The 21,593-nt window shown below is 33.0% G+C and overlaps 1 protein-coding gene across 5 annotated transcripts in view; it reads left to right on the top strand.

Moving 5' to 3' along the window:
- CCDC102B (coiled-coil domain containing 102B) overlaps positions 1–2,668 on the top strand; it is a 342,906-nt gene extending 340,238 nt beyond the window's left edge. For 4 of the 5 annotated variants that reach the window (XM_047437804.1, XM_017025973.2, XM_047437805.1 and 1 more), the window contains one exon: positions 1,918–2,667. In XM_047437804.1, the coding sequence (XP_047293760.1) occupies positions 1,918–1,963 (46 nt within the window). In that variant the 3' untranslated portion in view covers positions 1,964–2,667. Of the gene's footprint in view, positions 1–1,917 lie in introns of all 5 variants that reach the window. The other variant, XM_047437807.1, reaches the window with a different exon arrangement.
- Positions 2,669–21,593: the final 18,925 nt, after the last annotated feature.

A 21,593-nucleotide genomic window follows, 5' to 3' on the forward strand; every position in this document is an offset into this window, starting at 1 on the left:
GTGCTTTCTGGTATGACCTCCTCTATCCCATCATATCCCCTGTCAACCAACTGACTGAGCAATTCATCCAGATGGAGCCTTGAGGATGGGCCGCAGGTCAAGGTCTCATCTCAGTCACAATCCCATATGAGAACCAAATACAGTTTGGAGAAGCTAAATATTAGGGTTCCCCTTGCCTGACCATGTTTCTCTGCTTTTCTGTGGCTGTGCCCCAAGTGGGTGTGGGGCAACTGGCAAGGCGTCTTCCTCTCAAGATCCTAAACGCAAGTGGAAAACAAATCTCCCTGCCACCATCCCTCAACATTAGACTTCTATAGTTTCTTGCACACAACACAATCTCTAGATAAAAACACATAAAGGGGAAAATGGGGCTCTTTTCTGAAAGGGTTGCTCATCCGACAATCTCAGAACCCACGAGGGATGGGTTTTTATACTCTCACATTATATCATGTTCTCTTTTCTATTCTAGAGTTCCACTATTGTGATAGACCAATGAGACAGCTCCTCAGTGATCTTAGTACAGACATATTGATAACTACCCCTTCCAGGGTTGCTATGAACAAAGCATTTTCTAGATGTATCAGGCATATTAACTCGTTTAATCTTCATAACACGTATGTAATGGAGATTATTATTATCCTCATAATGATGACGAAGTTGAGATGTGATAGATTAAGTGGACAGGATTATGAAAGAACATACTGGAAGAAGACTAATCTTGATTCAAAGTTGAAGTTGCATAGTAAACATTTGGTTTGTACAGATAATGGCTTAAGAAAGATATTTGCTTCAGTGATTTTCCTTCAAAATATTGGGAACTAAATATTGTTTCAGGTGTATCTTGGTGTGCAACAATCAATGCCAAAACTTAATGAAAACAACAATGATTTTCTATAATTCAAGATTCTGTGAGTTGGCTGTGGTCAAAATGGTGGTTCTTTTGCTGTATGTGATATTGGCTGGAGTCACTCGAGGTTGCATTTTATGCTAGTTAAATGGCTGCTGGTTCCCAAGAGGGTAGACGTGAATTTGAGCTTTACCCTGTAGGTTTCTGCTTGTCTCCTACTCATCCTTTTTGCAGAATAAATGACCTTTTTGCCTTCTGAATTACTCTCTTCTCAGACATCCTGCCTACCATGGTGTGCTGGGGAAATAGAGGCCTGTTAATTTAGATAGATAGATAATAGATAGATAGATAGATAGATAGATAGATAGATAGATAGATAGATAGGATAGAGATTGATAGATACATTAGATAGAGATAGAGACAGACAGACGATCAATAGAGATTTTTTAAAAATTGTAATTGTGCTGAAAAACACATAAGTTTACCACCTTACGCTTTCTAAGTGTACAGGTCAGTAGTGTTAAGTATAGCCAGTGTTACGCTACCATTACCCAGAAATGTTTCATCTCAGAAAGCTGAAAATTCTATGCCCATTAAACAACTCCCCATCTTTCCTCTTCTCAGCCCCTTTCTAGGAATATTTCTCCTTTAGATACCTCATATAAATGGAATCATATAGTATTTTATTTTTGTTACTGGCTTATTTCACCTGGCATAATGTCCTCAAGGTTTATTCATGTTGCATGTGTCAGAATTTCCTTTATTTGTCCAGCCTCCAGTAATAATTTCCCTGTGACTTTTACAGCTTTTACTTTCATGAATCCCCTCACTGCCTTTTCACTGTCCACTTGTCCATGGTTTGTAAACCAATACTACATATTTTATGTTTTTGTTATGGCAGCACTGCATTTCCTGGTACCAATTTCTGTTTCAGATATCTACTGCTACAAAACAAATTACCTTGAAACTTAGTAGCTTAAAACATATTTGTGTTGCTTACTACTGTTCTGTTGGTTTTCTGAGTTTAGCTAGGTAGTGCTTCCACTCAACCCATGGGGTGATTCTTGCAGCTGCATTTTACTAGGAGATCTCCTGGGTCCTGGATGTCCAAGATGACTTCAATCTCTTATCTGATACCTCATCTGGGGTGAGGAATACAGCTGCTGGCTGGGCCTCTCCCTTGTTCCAAGTAACCTCTCAATACTCAGGAGTCAGCCTTGAGCTTTTTCATGTGGATATTGGCTTTCAGGAGGATTGCTGGGGAGTCAGACAGCTACTTCCCTCAGATTCAAATGGTTAGAGCAGGTTATAGGGACGTTCCAGATTCAAGACAAGAGGACATTAATGCTATGGCTTTATGGAAGTAGCCACGTGCATGTATAGGAACAGCTAGGAGTTGTTGGCATCCATTATTGCAAACCAGTTATCACAAATGGCACAGTGCAGCAAGTCCTGGTTCAAAGAAGACCTCAGTCCTCATACCCATTGCCACCCATGCCCATCTTGCAGATAAACAATTCAAATTTAATGGAAAGTTATTTTTCCCCAGCTTTTCTTTTAGGTTCAGTGGGTACATGTACACGTTTATTACATGGGTAAGGTGTGTATTGCTGAAGTTTGCTATATGAATGATCTCATCACCCAATTCATGAGCATAGCAGCTAAAGGTCGTTTTCCAACCCTCACCTAACTCCCACCCTCCCTGCTCTAATAGTCCCCAGTGGCTATTATTTTCATCTTTATATTCACATGTATTCAGTATTTAGTTCCCACTCATAAGTGAGAACAGGTGGTATTTGGTTTTCTGTTCCTGCATTAACTTGCTTAGGATAGTGGCCTCCAGCTGCATCCATATTGCTGCAAAGGACATGCTTTTGTTCTGTTCTTATGGCTGTGTAGTATTCCATGGTGTGTATGTACCACATTTTCTTTATCCAATTTACCATTGATGGGCACCTGAGTTGATTCCACGCTTTTGCTGTTGCAAATAGTACTTCAATTAACATACGGGTGCACGTGTCTTTTTTGGTGTGATAATGTATTTTCCTTTGGGTATATAACCCAAAAATGAGATTGCTGGATTGAATAGCAGCTCTAAGTTTTTTGAGAAGAATCCAAACTGCTTTCTCCAGCAGCTGAACTAATTTACATTCCCACCAGCTGGGTATAAGTGTTCCCTCTGCTCTACAGCCTTGCCAACAACACCTTTTTTCTTTTCTTTTTTTTTTTTTTTTTTTAGTCTTTTTAATAGCCATTCTAACTTGTGTGAGATAGTATCTCATTGAGGTTGTGATTTGCATTTATCTAATGATTACTGATGTTGATCATTTTTTATACATATTTGTTGGCTATGTGTATATCTTCTTTTGAGAAGAGTCTACTCAGGTAATTTGCTCATTTAATTGAGCAAATTTTAATTTGCTCAATTTTAATGTTATTTGGTTTGTGCTGGTTTTATATAATTGTTTCTTATAGATTCTGGTTATAAGACCTTTGTTGGTTGCATAGATTGTGACTATTTTCTCCCATTTTGTAGGTTATCTGTTTACTATCTTGATAGTTTCTTTTACTTTACAGAATTTTCTTAGTTTAATTAGGTCCTTATTGTCAGTTTCAGTTTTGTTGCACTTGCTTTTGTGGACTTAGTAATATACATATATATTTTTTTTTACAAGATCAATGTCCAGAATTGCATTTCGTAGGTTTTCTTCTAGGGTTCCTATATTTGAGGTCTTCCATTTAAGTCTATAATTCAACTTGGGTTAATTTTTTTATATGGTAAAATGTAGGGATCCAGCTTTATTCTTTTGCATATGGCTAGCCAGTTATCCCAGCATCATTTGTTGAATGTGGATTACTTCCCCCATTGCTTGTTATTGTTGACTTTGTCAAAGATGAGATGATTGTATATTTATGGCTATATTTTTGGGTTCTCTAATCTGTTGAATTGACCCATGAGTCTGTTTTTGTGTTAGTACCATACTGTTTTGGTTACTCTAGCTTTATAGTATAGCTTAAAGTCCATTAATGTGATGCCTCCAGCTTTGTTCTATTTACTTACGATTGCTTTGGCTATTTGGGCTCTTTTTTGTTTCCATATGAATTTTAGAGGTTTTTTCTTCTATTTATGCGAATAATGATATTGGTACTTTGACAGTCATAGTTTTGAATCCATAAATCGCGTTGGGCAATATGGACATTTTAACAATATTTATGTGCCAATCCATGAGCATGGAACGTTTTTTCATTTGTGTAATCTGTGATTTCTTTCTTTGGTGTTTTGTAGTCCTCCTTGTAGAGATCTTTCACCTAATTGTTCAAATGGATTCTTAACTATTTCCTTTTTTTGTTCCTATTTTAAATGGATTGGGTTCTTGATTTGGCTCTGAGGTAGAATATTATTGGTATATAGAAATGTTACTGATTTTTGTACATTGATTTTGTATCTTGAAATTTTACTGAAGTTATTTATCAGCTCTAGGAACCTTTAGCAGTCTTTAGGACTTTCCAGGTATAGTGACATATCACCAGTAAAGAGAGAGAATTCGACTTCTTTTCCTATTTGAATGCTTTTTATTTCTTTCTCTTTTCCGATGACTCTGGCTAGAATTTGCAGTGCTATGTTGCAAAATCTCACTATGGTGAGAGTGGCCATCTTTGTCTCATTTCAGTTTTTAAGTGGAATGCTTCCAGATCTTGCTTGTTCCGTATGATGTTAGTTGTGGGTTTTTCATAGATAGGTCTTAGTATTTTGAAGTATGTTCCTTTAATGCCGAGTGTGTTGCAGGTTTTTGTCATGAATCAATGTTGGATTTTATCAAAAGCTTTTTCTGCATCGATTGAGAAGCTCATATGATTTTTTTTATTTTGATTCTATTTACATGGTGAATTACATTTATTGATTTAAGTATGTTGAACCAGCCCTGCAACCAAGAATTAAAGCCTACTTTATGTGGCTAATTAATTTTTTGATGTGCTGCTGGATTTGTTTTGCTAGTACTTTGTTGAGGATTTTGTGTCTATGTTCATCAGGGATATTGCCCTGTAGTTTTCTTTCTTTACTGTCTGTTTGTCAGATTTTGGTATCAGAGCATTGCGGCTTTGTAGAATGAGTTAGGGAAAAGTCCTTCCTCCTCAGTGTTTTGGAATCATTTATGTAGGATTGGTAACAGTGCTTCTTTATATGTCTGGAAGATTTTGGCTGTGAATCCATCTGGTCCAGGGCTCTTTTTTATTGATAAGTTTTTAAATACTGATTCCATTTTGGAGCTCAATATTGGCCTGTTCAGGGTTTCGATTTATGGCCACAGCACCCTGAAGATTCCTGATCTCCTTTGGAAAGCTATTCTTAATATAAAATAGGGGCCATGAGATTTATGTTTCTGTGTTGTTTCTTTTTCATTTTTTAGCAACTTGTATTGATTTTTAATGTAATGAGATCATGTGAATTGTTTAGTAAGGTTTTTGATATTCTTTTGCTTCTGCACATATTCCTCCAGCTAAATCAGAAGATAGGTTTTGCTATTTATTATCTCTGTGAACTTGAGTGTGTTATTTGTAGTGAAACTATGTAAAACTGCCTCAAAGATTGAATGAAATAATGGATGTGAAACCCTTGATAATAGAATCTGGCATTAATAAACATTCAACAAATATCGGTTTATTTGTATTCTAATTTTCAAGAGATTATTTCCTTCAAAACAACTAAATTTAGAAAGTAAAATTTATGTGCAAAAGGAAAATATACTTTTAAATAAATCTTGGAAATACTTTACAAAAATTGTAAAATTGTAATGATGCTTGACTTCAACTACTTTAACCTTTAAACATTGAGTATATTTTCTTTTGTTGAAATATCTTGAAAAATTATTTGCATTCTGTAAAGCATCATTTATAGTAACAATAACAATACTGACTTCACACACTTGACATTTATATATTAGACTTTGAAAGTGTCACCTATACAACATTGTTATATAAAACTATAGTCATTAACTGGTAATCTCAATAGTTAAATTTTTATCTTTAAATTTCTAATTTGTCATTTAAGGAAAATCATTAGAGTTATATACATCAGAAAACTCCAGCATAAGAGGAAATCAGAGTCTAACTATTATCTTTAACTTAGATTGAATATTCATAATCACATAAAAGAAGAAATCCTTAATATTCTTTTTAAAATAAAACTTTGTGTAAAATATTTAATCTTTATACCAACAAACTCCCAAATATATACATTTCAAAATAGAATTACAGTAAATTAAGCATAGTTTGTATGGCTCAACCTAAAGAAAAACATATATTGCAACTGGAAACATTTAATTAATTTTTATTGCAAAGTACCATAGGTTACTGTAAAAAGTGAAGCAATATATATAGAAATTGGTTTGCCTTTTGTATTCTCTTGTTTTCAGTAATGCCTATCTCATTACACAGCTCTTACAAAGGCTAATAAAATATGGATGAAAGGAGGTATTTGTTGATTTTAAATCAAAATATTGAAAATACTATATTGTCTGCATACCCAAGAGAAACAGGTACACAGACTTCAAAGATTAGTGTTGAACTAATATATACATAATATAATTATATATTATATATATACATATGTGTGTGTATAGATATATACATACATATATATACACACACACACACACACACATATATATATATATATATGTATATATAAAAAATAGTGCACATTTTCCTCCAAAATGCAATGGCCTTCAGTGTCTTGGCTTGGCCTGGCCTGGCCTGTGCCATATTCTTAGGGATAAAAAGATACCCTGTGATTGGTGTGAGAAATGAGATAATCTCCACAGAATTCTTGTCTTGGTAACTGTGCAACTTTCCTTACTATGACTCAACTTTGGGTTCATCACACCAATTGGAGTAGAGTGCATGGAAATCAATTATTTCTGATTTTAATACATGTTTATCTTGCTAACATGATTTGTTTCTAAAGAACATGTATGATTTTTCTTTTACTTTGGATTCAGGGGTCCATGTGCAGGTTTGTTATATGGGTATATTGTGTGATGCTGAAGTTTGGGGTATGGATAATCCCATTACGCAAGTAATAAGCATAGAACTCAATAAGCAGTCTTTCAGCACACCCGCCTTGACTAGTACACAGTGTCTATTGCTTCCATCTTTGTGTCCATGCATACTCAATGTTTAGCTATCACCTATAAGTGATAGCATGAAGTATTTGGTTTTCTGTTCCTGCATTAATTCACTTAGGATAATGGCCTCCAGCTCCATCCATGTTGCTGCAAGGAACATGATTTTGTTCTTTTTATGGCTGTGTAGTATTCCATGGTATATATGTTCCACATTTTCTTTATCCAACCCACTGCTGATGGGCATCTAGGTTTATTACATGTCTTTGTTATTTGAAATGGTGCTTTGATGAACATACGGATGCACATGTCTTTTTGGTAGAATTAATTCTTAACAGAGTACTACAAACCGAATCCAGCAGTACATTAAAAAGTTAATTTACCACAATAAAGTAGGCTTTATTCCTGGGATACAGGGTTGGTTCAACATATGCAAATCAATAAATGTGATTCAACACATAAAGAGAATCAAAAACAAAACTCATATATGATCACCTAAACAGAGGCAGGACAAGAGGCATCAAAGGAATATACTTCAAAATAATAAGAGCCACCTGTGACAAACCCACAGCCAACATCGTACTGAATTGGCCAAAGCTGGAGCCATCCTCCTTGAGAACCAGAACAAAACAGGGATGCCTACTCTCATCACTCCTATTCAGCATCGTACTGGAAGTCCTACCCAGAGGAATCAGGCAAGACAAAGAAATAAAAGACATCCATATAGGGAAAGAGGCAGTCAAGTTATCTGTCTTTGCTGATTATATAATTCTATACCTAGAAAACCCTGAAGACTTCAACGAAAGAATTCTAGAACTGATAAATGACTTAGGTAAAGTTTTAGGATACAAAATCAATGTACAAATTCAGTAGCATTTCTATACACCAATAGGTTCTAGCCGAGAATGAGTTCAAGAACACAATCCCATTTAAAAGCCACACAGAAAAAAAGGAACTACCTAGGAATACATGAAACTAAGGAGTTAAAAGACCTCTATGAGGAGAACTACAAAACACTGCTGAAAAAAAATCAGAAATGACAGAAATAAATGCAAAAATATTCCATTTTTCTCCCCATTATATATTGTTGCAAAGTTAGTACTATTTTCTGAAATCACATCTAAATATATGGTTTCTATATATTTAAATGAAGGCAAATTTTTATGTTTATTTATGGACATAACTAATGCAGAAACATTTGAAAATTTCTAATTTCAATGAATATAGTTCTGTTGGTTATAAAAGAGTAATTTTCTGTGATGTACTTAATACTTTTATGTATGATATTTATCAAAGAAACTAATAAACAATAAAGAGACTTTTTTCAAAAGCAAACTCTACCAGACCCATATAATTATTTTTGACAATCATGGCTTGGAAAGTTTAACTAGGAAAACAATTTCTATATTGAATATAATAATGTTCTTATTTGGACCCATAAAAATCTATTTAAGAGAGGAACATAGCTCATACTTGAATGTACTCTATTAGGAAAAAATAATACTAAGTCCAACTTGAACCATAATTATCAGAGTGAGGCACCAATCCATGGAAACAAGTAATGCTGGAAAGAGATTTGTCCTAAATAAGCTATTCAGTAGCCACATTGATGACCTGGAGAACGAAACAGAGAAATAGAAAATCTATAATTCTAAGTTGTTTTGTGTCAGAAGACAAGGAGAAATTAAAAATGGTCCTAAAGGAAGAGAATATAATGTATTAGAAACAATTTGAAGAGTAACCATATAATAAAAGCTAATGGTATAAGGAAAGAGTGCTGAAGCACAAGTATAATATTAACAGCCACTCTCATTTTCTTCCCTGTATGACCCACGCCATCCTACCTGCTTTACGAGGTAGAAAATGGTATCTCCGTTTTACAAGTGAGAAACAGTGGCTTCAGTGAATGCATTATTTTCTTAAGTATCGCATGCTTATGTAGGGATTAGAAAAAACCTTCTACTTGATTAACCTGACAGAATCATAGATGAGACTGGTTGGAAGCCATCAGATGTATATAAGATATTTAAGCAAACCATTTAATCTTTTGAAGTCTCGATGTTCTCAACTGTAAAATGGAGATAGCAATACATGTTATAAGCTTGCAGCCATAATTTAGCGTATGCTAATTGTACCATTTCGAAGAAGACCAGCATGTTTCATGATTATGTCATGAGGCTTAAATTAAGAATCAATTAAAGGTAAAAAATACACAAATATAAAATTTTCCAATGGCTATTGATATATTAATATTTTAAAAATTTATTCACTAAATTTGATATGTAATTCTCTAATAAAATTTGGCCATACTTTCTGGTTCTGCTCACCACAAACAAAAATAAGATCTCAAGAAGAATGACATGACTCATAGGTTTGAAAATATTTCCCATAAAGAGATGTTAGAAGGAATTAAGGTTCTTTTGCATTTAACGTGTCTGCAATTTGACTGTTAAAATAAAATCAAATTTTATTTAGAGAAAGATGCTGGGCTGGGCTGTCCTCTTTGGAAGAAATGACTAAGTGGAAGCATATAACTTCAAACTTAGAAGTAAAAATTATTTTAACCTTAAGCTGTAACTTGGGGTAAATAGTGAGATAATAGTACTCAGCTCTATAAATAATATTGTGAATGAACACAATACTATTCCCTTAGGCATATTATTCAGTTGCACAATAGCAGATTTCATTACTTCCCCTTTGCTTGCTTATTTAATCTGTGAATGATTGGATACAAGCTCAGAGAATACTACACTTGAATGAGAATATAGCTTTTTTATATGTCTTTAACTTAATTCCCCTGTATATAAAATATATTTTGGAGGATATTCTCTCATCTTAAGTGTGGTATTTAAGATGTAGCTGCTTTAGTTATACTGTTGAGTGAAACTTAGTACTCTGATACTTTATTTTAATGGTGAGTCCTGTGATCAGGTGATGGTATTAATGTTTCTATTATTTGACTTATTATTTAGAAAATGAATTTTTAATACATTTATTTGGAGGCTGCAATCCACACACACGCACACATACACACACACACACACACACACAGACATGCACACACCATCATCCCCCCATGCTGAGCCTAATATCATACAGTTGTTAGTAACTAAACATGAGATAAATAAGAAAGTATAAAAATGACATTATTTATTTCACATAAATAGTAGGAGTGAAAACAATTTCAGGGGCTCTAATAACTCAGGATTCATATTGTAAGTTGGTGCTTTATCTCAATAACAACCCCAAAAGTGGCAATAATTACTACTAATATTTGGAAACTGGAAGAGAATTCAACAAATTTCTTGATTAATGCTGAGGTAACTTTGTGTTTCTTTTTTCATCGACTTTTAAGGGCATTTTAAAGTGTAAATTAATGTTTAAGAACAGGAATTTCAGAATTGAAAAGCACAGATGCATTCATAATAGCAATGTACATTTCCTTCATTGAAGATAGAATTGCTCTTGGTACACCTGTTTCCCTCAGATATCTATAACTGAGATTCGCATGGTTTGGCAATGTTGTCAAATGCCCCAATCTCAAATATTGGAAGAGGTCTGGAGAGAAAGTGTAAATAAAACTAATTTCTATTAAATTGCATTATTCTACTGACACTTGGTTAATGCAAGACATTTGTATAGTATAGTAGTCTACTGAGAACTCTAAGCCTTTATTTTAGAAAGAATTACTAATTCCTCTTCCATGGAATTCCCTATATGTTTTTAAAATTCAAAGTTTATGAAAACGACAGAAAGTAGAAAAGACAGTGTAGAATATGTGCTGAATTTATCTAAATTCTATTCAGGTATGATGATGGCATTCATGATATTTAAGACACCAAAAACGGTGTTTAAGACATGATATATTAAATATTTCATTTCCTCATTACAACATAATGGAATTTACTTAAAATTTTGAACAGAATACGTGAGTCTATGAGTCCTCTACTTAAGTTTATTTAAATCGGTAACATTAGAAATAACTACATCTGTGACATTAGATATAATCAAACAAAATTTTTTAAAAGTCAGTACTAAACCATACAAAATTAAACCCCAAATAGATTAAAGAGATAATTTTATAAACAAAAGTAAACTAGGAAAGTATTGTAAGAAAATGAGATTATTTTTGTAAGCATTTCAGAAAAGGCCTTTTTAAGCAAACACAAATCTCAGAAACTTTAAACTATGAGGTATTTGACCTCATAGAATTTGATAATGTATTTCATTTTAATCAGAGTGTCGTTTCCCAAGGACACTACTCTTGTATACATTAAATCTTTCTCCTGCTGCTACTTATCCTCAAGTTCTATATAGGCTTTTCCTACTATCCTTGTTCTATTATCTCTTGAGAACTCATTACATCTGATGAACTCTTACACCAACACAACTTTCACCACTCTTCTATCTCATCATTCCAATACAGTTTATACTAAAGTTTTAGTTAAATACAGTTACATTTTCCTGAGAATGTTAAGATTGTTTATGGCAGAGCCTCATAGTGTACTATAATTAAATGTTCTGACAGTTACCTTTTTAATTATTATTTTCTTTTTGAACTTAATCATTGCCTATATTTAGCTGCATAATTTTTTATGTGTGTGTATCTTTTTCCTTCAAAGTACTTTTATTACTAAATAAATTAATTCTAAATGAACAGTGTTTCCTAAAAATCTATTATAATCAGGAGTAATTTCTCTTTGGACAGCTCTATTATCTTGGGATCTCCACGTGCCAATATTTCTAAACTCCTTATATTTTGTGCTGAATGACCTATTTGTTACAGTATATTATCAGCAATTTAAGAAAAATGATGTCATGCTAGATAAATCTTTTAGGTTTGTTTTTTATTTCAATTTGAGCCCTTTCTAGTTCTGTCTTTATAATAGCATATTCTTGTTTTATGACTCCAGTGTCCTTTATAGCCTCTTCAAAGATAAGTAAATGTTACTTTTATGTTATTTTCTGTGTTTTCTATTTCCTCCCAATCATAATTTTCTTGCTTCTTGGTTTTAAACTTTATGATTCTCAAGCTTTTGATTTACCCTTTGATGAATCTCAGCTTTCTCTGTTGCTTTCATCTCTTGCTTGCTTTATTTCTAGGACTTTTTCCTTAAATACTCTGGGATTATTGGATACTTCTTTCTTTCTTTGCAGAAGTTTTTATCTTAACTCTTTATCCTCCCTAACAACCTCAGAATTCTGCAAGTAACTCATGAGGAAAGCTGGCCCTCAAGTCTCAGTTTATCATTCCAGCCCACCGTGGCCTCTTTTCTACAGATTATAAGTGGGTTTAGTGTAAAGTTAATCTAAGCATTTATCTTTTATAAAAAGTGTTTAGAATATTAACAATAGTGTCATACATATAAAATAAATATATGCTTTATTTTATGGCTTTAAATTTCTTGATGTTTTCCTTGCATTCTGTGTATTATATAGGAATTGTGTTATGCAGTACTGCTTTTATATATTACCCTCTACTCTTGGTTTGGGATTTATACATTTTGATTTATACATCTTGATTATTTCTAAGAGTCATTTAAGTTACTTTTAAAATCTTGAATCTCTTAATTAGAGCTTTGTAATTAAGGTCAAGAATGAGATTACATTTTAAATATTCCCCTACATGAAGAATTGTTTACCTTACTCTTTGCCTTTGTTTTTCTTGCCCTTCTAAATTTACATGGATTAAAATGTACAACTGGAGATAAAAGCTCGTAGTGTTATTAAATACATTTTATTCATTTACCCTGATTTTCAGTTTGTAACTATTATGCTTTATTTTTAAATTAATAAATATTTTTTGACATTCATGAGTAGTCAATCTATATCATGATTTCCATATTCTTAAGTCCTCAGATTATGTCATTTCTCAGGTTATTGAAGCCTATTTGTGTGTGTATGTGTTTAACCTTTTAGTAAAACTCATATTCCCAACTCATGTTTATTAACTTATTTAGTGGGGATTAGGCCTAGATTAGCATCTTTCCTTTTTGACCATACATATAAGATGTGTTTGATAGTAACAATTTTTAAATGAAAGCATAAATATTTTTATTTAGCTCTTAATATATTTCAAAAATTTATTGACATTTAAATCTAGCTCTTCCTATAAGGGACCTCTTTATTTTGGTCTTTTATCAGTAATCTGGTACAATATATTAGTAATTTTCATCCAGAATGATAAGCAGTTACCATTCCTTTCACAAGTGAAGAACTGCTTGGATTGCATGGAATTCTAGGTTCACAAAATATCACCATCAATGAACATCATTCCACTATCTCAGTGTTACAGAAGTAATATCTGCCATCAGTTTTTCCCATTGAAAGTATCCTCTTTTTTCTGCTAAATTACTAAAAATTGTTTTATTCTTATGTTTGAATGTGAACAGAATATGTCTTAATATAAATATTGGCTAATAAATTTAATGTAATTGTGAAAAGCACATTCGATTTCTGTGTTCAAATCTTTCCATTTTTCTGAGGAAGATTTTTAAATACAATGCAATGTCTTATGTATTTTTGTTTTTTTATGTTTTCCTTCTACCTTTTGATCATCAATTATTCCTTCGGAAGGGCTAAATACAGCTGCTGTCACTTTTTGTTTGGTATATCAATTGTATTCTTCTTAAGCATTTTAAACTCAGGTTGTTTTTTCCCTCTGAGTTCTGGGAAAACTTTTAAAGTTTGTTAAATCTTTATTGTTGCTAGTATTCTGCACTGAAGAAAAATTTAAAATATGCTTTATGGGTTTCGTTGTATCTTTTTTCTAATATTAGACAACTCTTTTCTTCCTTTTTCATCATTGACTAAACATACCCTCTCCCTACCACATCCCATGCCTCCCTTATAAGTGTCATTCTATATTGCATCTTAGGTGATGCCTAACATAATTAAACACACATACACACACAGGATCCAAATTTAAATTTTCTCCAAATATTTACTTTATGCTGAACCCTAACAATATTGTATCCTTTCTGTTTCTAATATATTATTCCTCTTTGAGCAAATGTTCTTGCTTTTTTTAAAAAAAAAATTCTGTTAACAATTTGTCTTTTTCTCCCTCCTTGTACGAGGAGATATTTATTCAGGTCAAATGGCCTACATTATAATGCATCAATTTAATTTTGTTTTACTACTCATCATCTGTGATTCAAATAGAATAGAGAAAATATGATAAGCTTAAACTTTTAGCAAAAATGAGAGTATACTTGACAATTCAGACAATGAGTCACAGAAATTGGGGATGAGAATAAAATTGTTCCAGCTGCTGGCATTAAAGTGCAGTGATTTGGTTGCACCATTTTAGCCATCTTTGAATGGTTTCTTACATTCTTCTTTTAAAATACCCTCTAAACTTTGCAAAAGCTGAAAGCACTTCAGCAGCACTGGAAACTATCAGGGTGCAATGTTTTTGGTGTGAATAGAGTGCAGGGTTGCTGTCAGAAAGCGGCAGAACCCACATGCCCAGCTCAGCACCATGAGGGTCTCTAGTTTTCTCCTCTCTCAGTCTATTCCACAGATGTCCCTACTTTGTGTGCTTTCTGTCCTACTTTTAGTTTTTCTTTGCCCTTCAATTCAGAAGAATGTACTTCATTTGGTTGACAGCTTTTATGTCACTACATGAATGGTTTCCATTTTCCACCTTTGCTCTCTATCCCTTTCTGCCAAAGCAATTCTCTCCTCCTCTTCTGACAGGAACTCTGGGCAAGGAAGAAAAAGAATATGAACTACTTCAGCATATACAGCATAAATAGTTGACTTCAGACCCAACGTGTTAAAGATTTTCTACTTGGCTTTGATAGTGGTATGCTTTGTACCAAAATTTCTATATTACTTTTTAATCCTTGAAGCTCAGTATTTTGAGTATTTTTACGGCCATAAATGTATAAATATTATGCAAAGACAGTCAGCTACTAACTGGCTTTTTTAATGGTGTATGGTCTAGAATTGTGCTGTGGTTGTTATAGATCAATTAATTGTTACTTGGGATTTGATATTCTGCCTTTCCAGTACAGAATACTTGATAATAAAAGCATAGTACATTATTCTTAAAAAAATACAGAACAATTTTTCAATGTGCAGAATCTGTTCTTATTTCTAAGGCTTTCCCCATGTCTGCAACAGTGGATTAGATCAGCAGATTTGCAGTAGTGAAGAGTATTCAGAAATATCTGAGAAGGAGCTGACAAGAAAAATATTCGTGATCTTTTCTATTCAATTTCCAGCATTGAAAATTAAAGTTTTGAACAGCACTGTGCAATAGAAATAGTTGAGCCACAGATATGAGCCACATTAAAAAAAAAACAAAAGAACTGATAAAATTAACATTGATGATATCTTTTATTTAGTCCAACATATGCAACGTATTACCATGATCAACATGCCATTAATATCGTAAATGAGATGTTTTTATTTTTTATTTTTGTATTTATTTTACAATTAGTGCAGCTCATCTCTATTTGTACTGGCTGCATTGTAGTTGCTCAATTGCCCTGAGCGGCTAGGGGCTATCATATTGGAAAGCGCAGAAGTAAACTAAGGTAAAGAATATTTGAGTTCTTTAAAAAAAAAAAAAACAGTAATAAACACTTGAGGAATAAAATAAAGTTCAATTTTAATTCTAGTATTTTTCAATGATTTGATTTTGGACAAATTACCTGACTACTTTTTATGAAAAGTTTCCATTTGGTTTTTTATAGAGATTATATTTTCTGTTGAAATATACTCCACTTGTTTATCCAGCATGATTATGTTTTTCTATGTATTCCACAATGTATAAATCTTGTCTATTGTGAAATCCTTCTCTAAAACTCCAACGTCTGGATTTTCTCTGCATCTACTTGCATTGATAGGTTTGTTGTGATTATCAGTCATTTATGCATAAATTTTTCACATTATAATTTTTAAGTTTATGCTGGAGATTATATGTCATAGTACAGCAACTCTGCATTATGTGTTCATCCTCCAAGAACATTAGATTCTGTTCTATTAAGCTATTAAATGAAGAGAGGATCACCCTTTTTCTGTTGATGCTTGGGTTTTAGGCCATTTTAGCACAGATCTCCTTTAACTCCTTAACTTATCCCCATATCGAAAGAGAGCACTTACCACTAAGACATGCTTTTACTTGTAGGAATGGTGTTTCTGGCATCTCAACTGAAGCCTAATGTGTGCACCAACTCTCTCTACTATGATTGGGAAGAAACTTCAACATTTCCTCAGTGAGACCTCTGGAAACTCAGCTCATAGGTTCTCTGCATCTGTTTACTACTTGACCTCTTAGCATCTTGTCCTGCACATGGTCAGCTGAGAAACTGTCACAGGTCCTCAACGACATTTTATGCAGACGCTCGGAGGACTTCTTGGCACTTTCCTCCTTTCTGATATTTTGCCATCCAAATCCCAACCACTTTCACAGCCCCAGACTCTGACCTCTGATTTCTCCTCCCACTCATATTGAGACCTTTGATCTCTGTCTGGCCCTCTTTCTCTGTGCAGCAATTTGAAAAATTCCCCTAGTGAAAAATCCAGGGTTAATGTAAGTCTTACTTCATGCTCTTCCTTTTTCTTAAATATCATAGTGTGGGCTGATGCATTCAAACATGTTTTTATACCTCTTAAAATACATTTTGCTCCAAATTTATAATTGTTTACAGCTGTTGGATGAGTTTGATATCAGCTACTTTGTTTTATTCAGAAACTATTAAGTTCTTGACATCTATTTCTGCCACTCCCTAATAAATCACAAAATTTGATTAAATCTCCTTCTAAATTTAAACTTTCCTTCTGCCTTTTTGTTATTTCTTTGGTCTAAATTATTATCTCTTCCCTAGATTCCTACAATAGCTTTTAATTCATATCTCCACTTCCAGGACATACTCTACATTAAACAGTTGTCTTTTAGAAACACAATTTCTTTCTCTCTCTCTTTCTCTCTTTCTTCCTTTCTCCCTTTCTCTCTCTCTTTCTCTCTCTTTCCTTCTCTCTCTCTTTTTCTCTCTTTCATCTGTATTTTTAGTAGAGATGGGCTTTCTACAAGGTCTGTATTTTTTTAGTAGAGACGGGATTTCACCATGTTGGCCAGGCTGGCCTCAAGTTATCCACTTGCCTCAGCCTCCCAAAGTGCTGGGATTACAGGTGTGAGCCACCATAACTGGCCACAATTTTGTCACTCTCCAAGTGAAAACTATTCAATAGCTTCTCTTTAAACTGAGAATAAATCTTTGAACTCCTTACATTGACCTATAAAATTTTGGATGATGTAAGCTTTCTAAATGCTTTTCTATGCACTATCTGTCCCTGCTCTATGCTTTAGTAGCATTGATATTTTTTTAATTTCCTGAACCTGCAAAGCTTTGCCCATAGCAATGTTTTTGTACAGTCTGTTTTTTATGACCATGACATTGTGTTTGTCATTTTTCCCCTGACTTCTTTCTCTTGCTTTATGTGACAACTTAAATGTTCTTTCAATGAGGCATTTCCTGATCACATAGAACTTTACCCTTAATCTCATAGCATCCTGATCTTTTGATTCACATCACACCAAAGTATGACTTCCCACTTGTGCACAGGTATATGCTCTTATGTAACATCTTTATTTTCTACTAGATATAAACATCATGAGGAGAAGGATCATATCTTTATTTTTTGCCATATTATGCCCAGTGCTTCTTCTTGATATATAGTGTATTAAATACTTATTGGTGTATAAATGTTAAACAATTATATTTGAGTTCATGAAAAACATATTAAATAATATTAAACTTCAGAAAGAAAGTGTTTTAGAAATCAGCATTTGAAGTTTAATGGAGAATCAATAGTTTCAAAGAATTTTAGAAAATTGGAACTGGAAGAAACCACAATCATCAATTTCATGTAATAATCCTTTGGATAACATTGTCTCCACTTAAATCACTCCAGTGTCGAGGAACTCACAATTTCACAAGGAAGCGTATTTTATTCTATTCCTATTATTTAAAAAATGTCTTTCTCATGTTTAATATAATCTAAGCACTATATTGAATTGTTTTACTTATAATCTTATACAATAGTTATCTAAATTTTACAAAAAAATGAAAAAAATTGTGCATATATTAGGTTGGTGCAAACGTAATTGTGTTTTTTTCCATTACTTTTAATGCAGAAACCACAGTTAGGTTTGCACCAACATCATATTTTGTTTCATTTGTCATTTCCTCTGAAATCTAAACACTCAAAAGATATAATTAAAAATTATTATTTTATTTACTTGAATGTTGAAAAATGATACTTCATTTCAGGATCCTTTATCGTAATTGGAATTATTTATGTTATATATTGGATTTGTGTCTTTATCCCTGTGTGTTTTTAATGATCCACATTTGCATGCACTGCAAATAAGAAATTTTGAGTATTAGCCAAAGTTTTAAAAATATAAAATGGATTTTAAAGAACCAAACTTATGAAAAAAGCATGTTAATTAACATTAAGAAAGATGTATTAAACATTTTTGTCCTTATAGTGTTCACATTTTCTCATTAGTTATATTATCATAAAAGAAATGAAAATATATGGATGGATGGATGCATTCAAGTAAATAAAATATCATATTTTGAAGAAGACTCATATGTAATGTGCAAGATTCAGTTTAATTTAGTGTGTGTGTATATAATCATTTAAATATATAAGAGTTGGAAATATATTTATACTCTATATCAGAATTGAAATTATGATCAAATGAGAAAATATATCTGAAATCTTTTTTTAATTTTTAATTTTTTTTCTGTTTCTGAATCATTTTTGTTACCACTATTATTTAGGACATAGAGGTTTGCCTACAGAGTGACCCACTTTTTCCTAGCTATTTTTGGGTACCATATTAGACACTTCTAAAATTGTAATACCTTTTATGGGTGACTTAGAAACCATTAAATGAGTTATTGTTTCAGTGCAATAAGTTACATTTGCAATATTGCTGCCTATGGACCATTATTAATCTTAGAAAATGAAATAGGTGGTCTAATTACCTGTCTAATTCTTTTCAGATTCTGGCTGAATAAAAATATAAACTAAATGATATAAAATGGTGTTTCAAACATTATGTTAAAATCGAATAGGACAAATATTTTTTAAATTTTCATATATAAAGTGATTGCTGACATAAAAATATGTAAGCAATCCTTGTTAAGATGGTACTATAAGATTATTCATTGGTCTTCCTTCCTCTGCTGTAAACTCAGTTAGAGATAAAACCTAGTCGTTGTGCTTGTTGTTTTTAGAGAGAAGGTCTCCTTCTATTGCCCAGGCACAATGCAGTGGCACAATCACAGGTTAATGTAACACTGAACTCCTAAGCTCAAGGGATTCTTCCACCCCAAGCCTCCTGTGAAGCTAGGACTATAAACTTGTGTCACCACAGATGGCTAATTTTTTAAAAGAATTTTTGTAGAAACAGGGTCTTGCTACATTGCCCAAGCTGGTCTAGAATTCCTGGACTCAAGCAATCCTCCAGCCTCAGCCTTCCAAAGTGCTGAGAATACAGGTGTGAGCCCCCGTGTCTGGCCCTAAAATCTATTCTGATAAACTTAATAAGAAACATAGACATGTTTGGTGATACAAAGAGAAGTCTCCATTGACCAGAAACAAGATAGAAATGCACAACAGCAGTAGAGTTGTAGCTGGGGGACTGCCTATCTCTGGATCCAAATACAGACAGTGGGAACTGGGAATACGACTCCTTGAGGGTGAAGAGGATCAAAGTCATCCCTTACAAAGCGGAGTGGAGAGAGGAAGAAAAAACATTAAAGACAATCACAAGATTTCCAAAACTTTTCATCAAATCAAAAGCATGTTGCCAAATTGATCACATAAAAAGAGGGAATGCACCCAAATAAATAACTTTCTAAAATTTTAAACAGAATATAACTAAAATTTTAGTTTACATTTATAAAACGTGAAGATTATGAAAAAGTTTAGGCCACTAAAATTGCAAATTTAAGTGATATTAAAATTTTCTAGAGAACAATTTCTAGTATTTTACAAAAAAGAACCATAATAGAATTATTATTAAATATTTTGCTCATTAATTAAATTCCTTATGCCTCCTTGAAACAAATAAGTCATGTTATAGAGCTGTGTTCTGTTGGTGAATTTTGCCAGAAATTTAAGGAACAGATTTTAAAAAATACTTTAGAGAAGCTCAAAAAAAAAAACAGTTTCCTAACATTTTTATGAGATAGTAAATTATTGAAAGTTAATTAGAATCATATAGCAAAAGAGAATATAGGCTGAGCATGGTGGCTCACACCTGTAATCCCAGTACTTCGGGAGGCCTAAGCGGGTGGATCGCCTGAGCTCAGGAGTTCAAGACCAGCCCGGGCAACACGCCAAAACCCCATCTCAACTAAAAAATACAAAAAATCAGCTGGGCGTGGTGGTGCATGCCTGAGGTCCCAGCAGCTCAGGAGGCTAAGGCAGGAGGATCACTTGAGCATAGGAGGTCCAGGCTGCAGTGATGCGTGGTTTGTGCCACTGTACTCCAGCCTGGGTGACAGGGTAAGACCCTGTGTCAATTTTTTTTAAAAGAAAGACAATAGAATTACAGATTAATCTATAATTATGGGCACAAAAATCCTAAGTGATGGCCCAGGAAAATGGGATCCAGAAATGCTATACAATATTCATCAAATCATACGGTGTTTAGTCTCAGAATTCAAAGAAGTTTCTCTAGCAGAAAATTTAATAATTTACTTCACCACTCCAATTAACTGAGAAAGTTATATGATTATTACTATATGATTATTATAATAAAGTTACATGATTATTATATGATTTTAAAGTGATATTATTAAAAATAATACCGTTTAAAAATAGCGACATGTATTTATGACAAAAGCTAGGAACATAAAAGGACTTCCTTAACCTAGTTTAAATTTCTACTTGAAATGTATAGCAAATATGATTCTTCACAGTGAAGCACAGAAGCACAAAACCTCTAAATGAATTCAGAAACAAACAAAAACAACAGAAAACATTACTACTATCTCTCCTAATCTGTATTATACCTTAGTAAAGCAAAATTGTTTAGTAATAAAGCAAGAAAAAAGGTATAAATGTTGGAAAAAAAGAGACAATTTTACTATTACGTAGTGGTAAAATACATATCCAAGACAATGTATAGAAAAGTTACACAAATGAAAATAATGTGCTTTTTTTTTTTTTGGTAAGAGTTCAACAGACAAGCTAAAAACATAACACCAGTGAGCAACGTGAATCCTCCCCACTAAGATCCACATCTAGGAAAGGAGGTCCCCTCTCACCACTGCTGTTCAACAACATTCTGTAAGCCCTAATGCAATGCAGTAGAATTAGAAAAGTAACTAAAAGGTATACAGATTGGAAAAGATGTAGTAAAATTATCTTTGTTAACAGATGATTGTCTCTGTAGAAAATCCTAAAGAATTGAAAAAAAAAAAACCACTTGCGACTAATGAGCAAGATAGTTTGTAGGATGCAAGGTTAATACAAAAAAATCACGTTTCTATGTATCAGAATGAATAAATGGGATTTGAAATTAGAAACAGAATACCAGTTACATTACCACCCCAAAAAGAAGCACATAGGTAAAATGTAACCAAAGG

The sequence above is a fragment of the Homo sapiens genome, chromosome 18, assembly GCF_000001405.40.
Source record: "Homo sapiens chromosome 18, GRCh38.p14 Primary Assembly".
In the NCBI taxonomy this organism is placed as follows: Eukaryota; Metazoa; Chordata; class Mammalia; order Primates; family Hominidae; genus Homo; species Homo sapiens.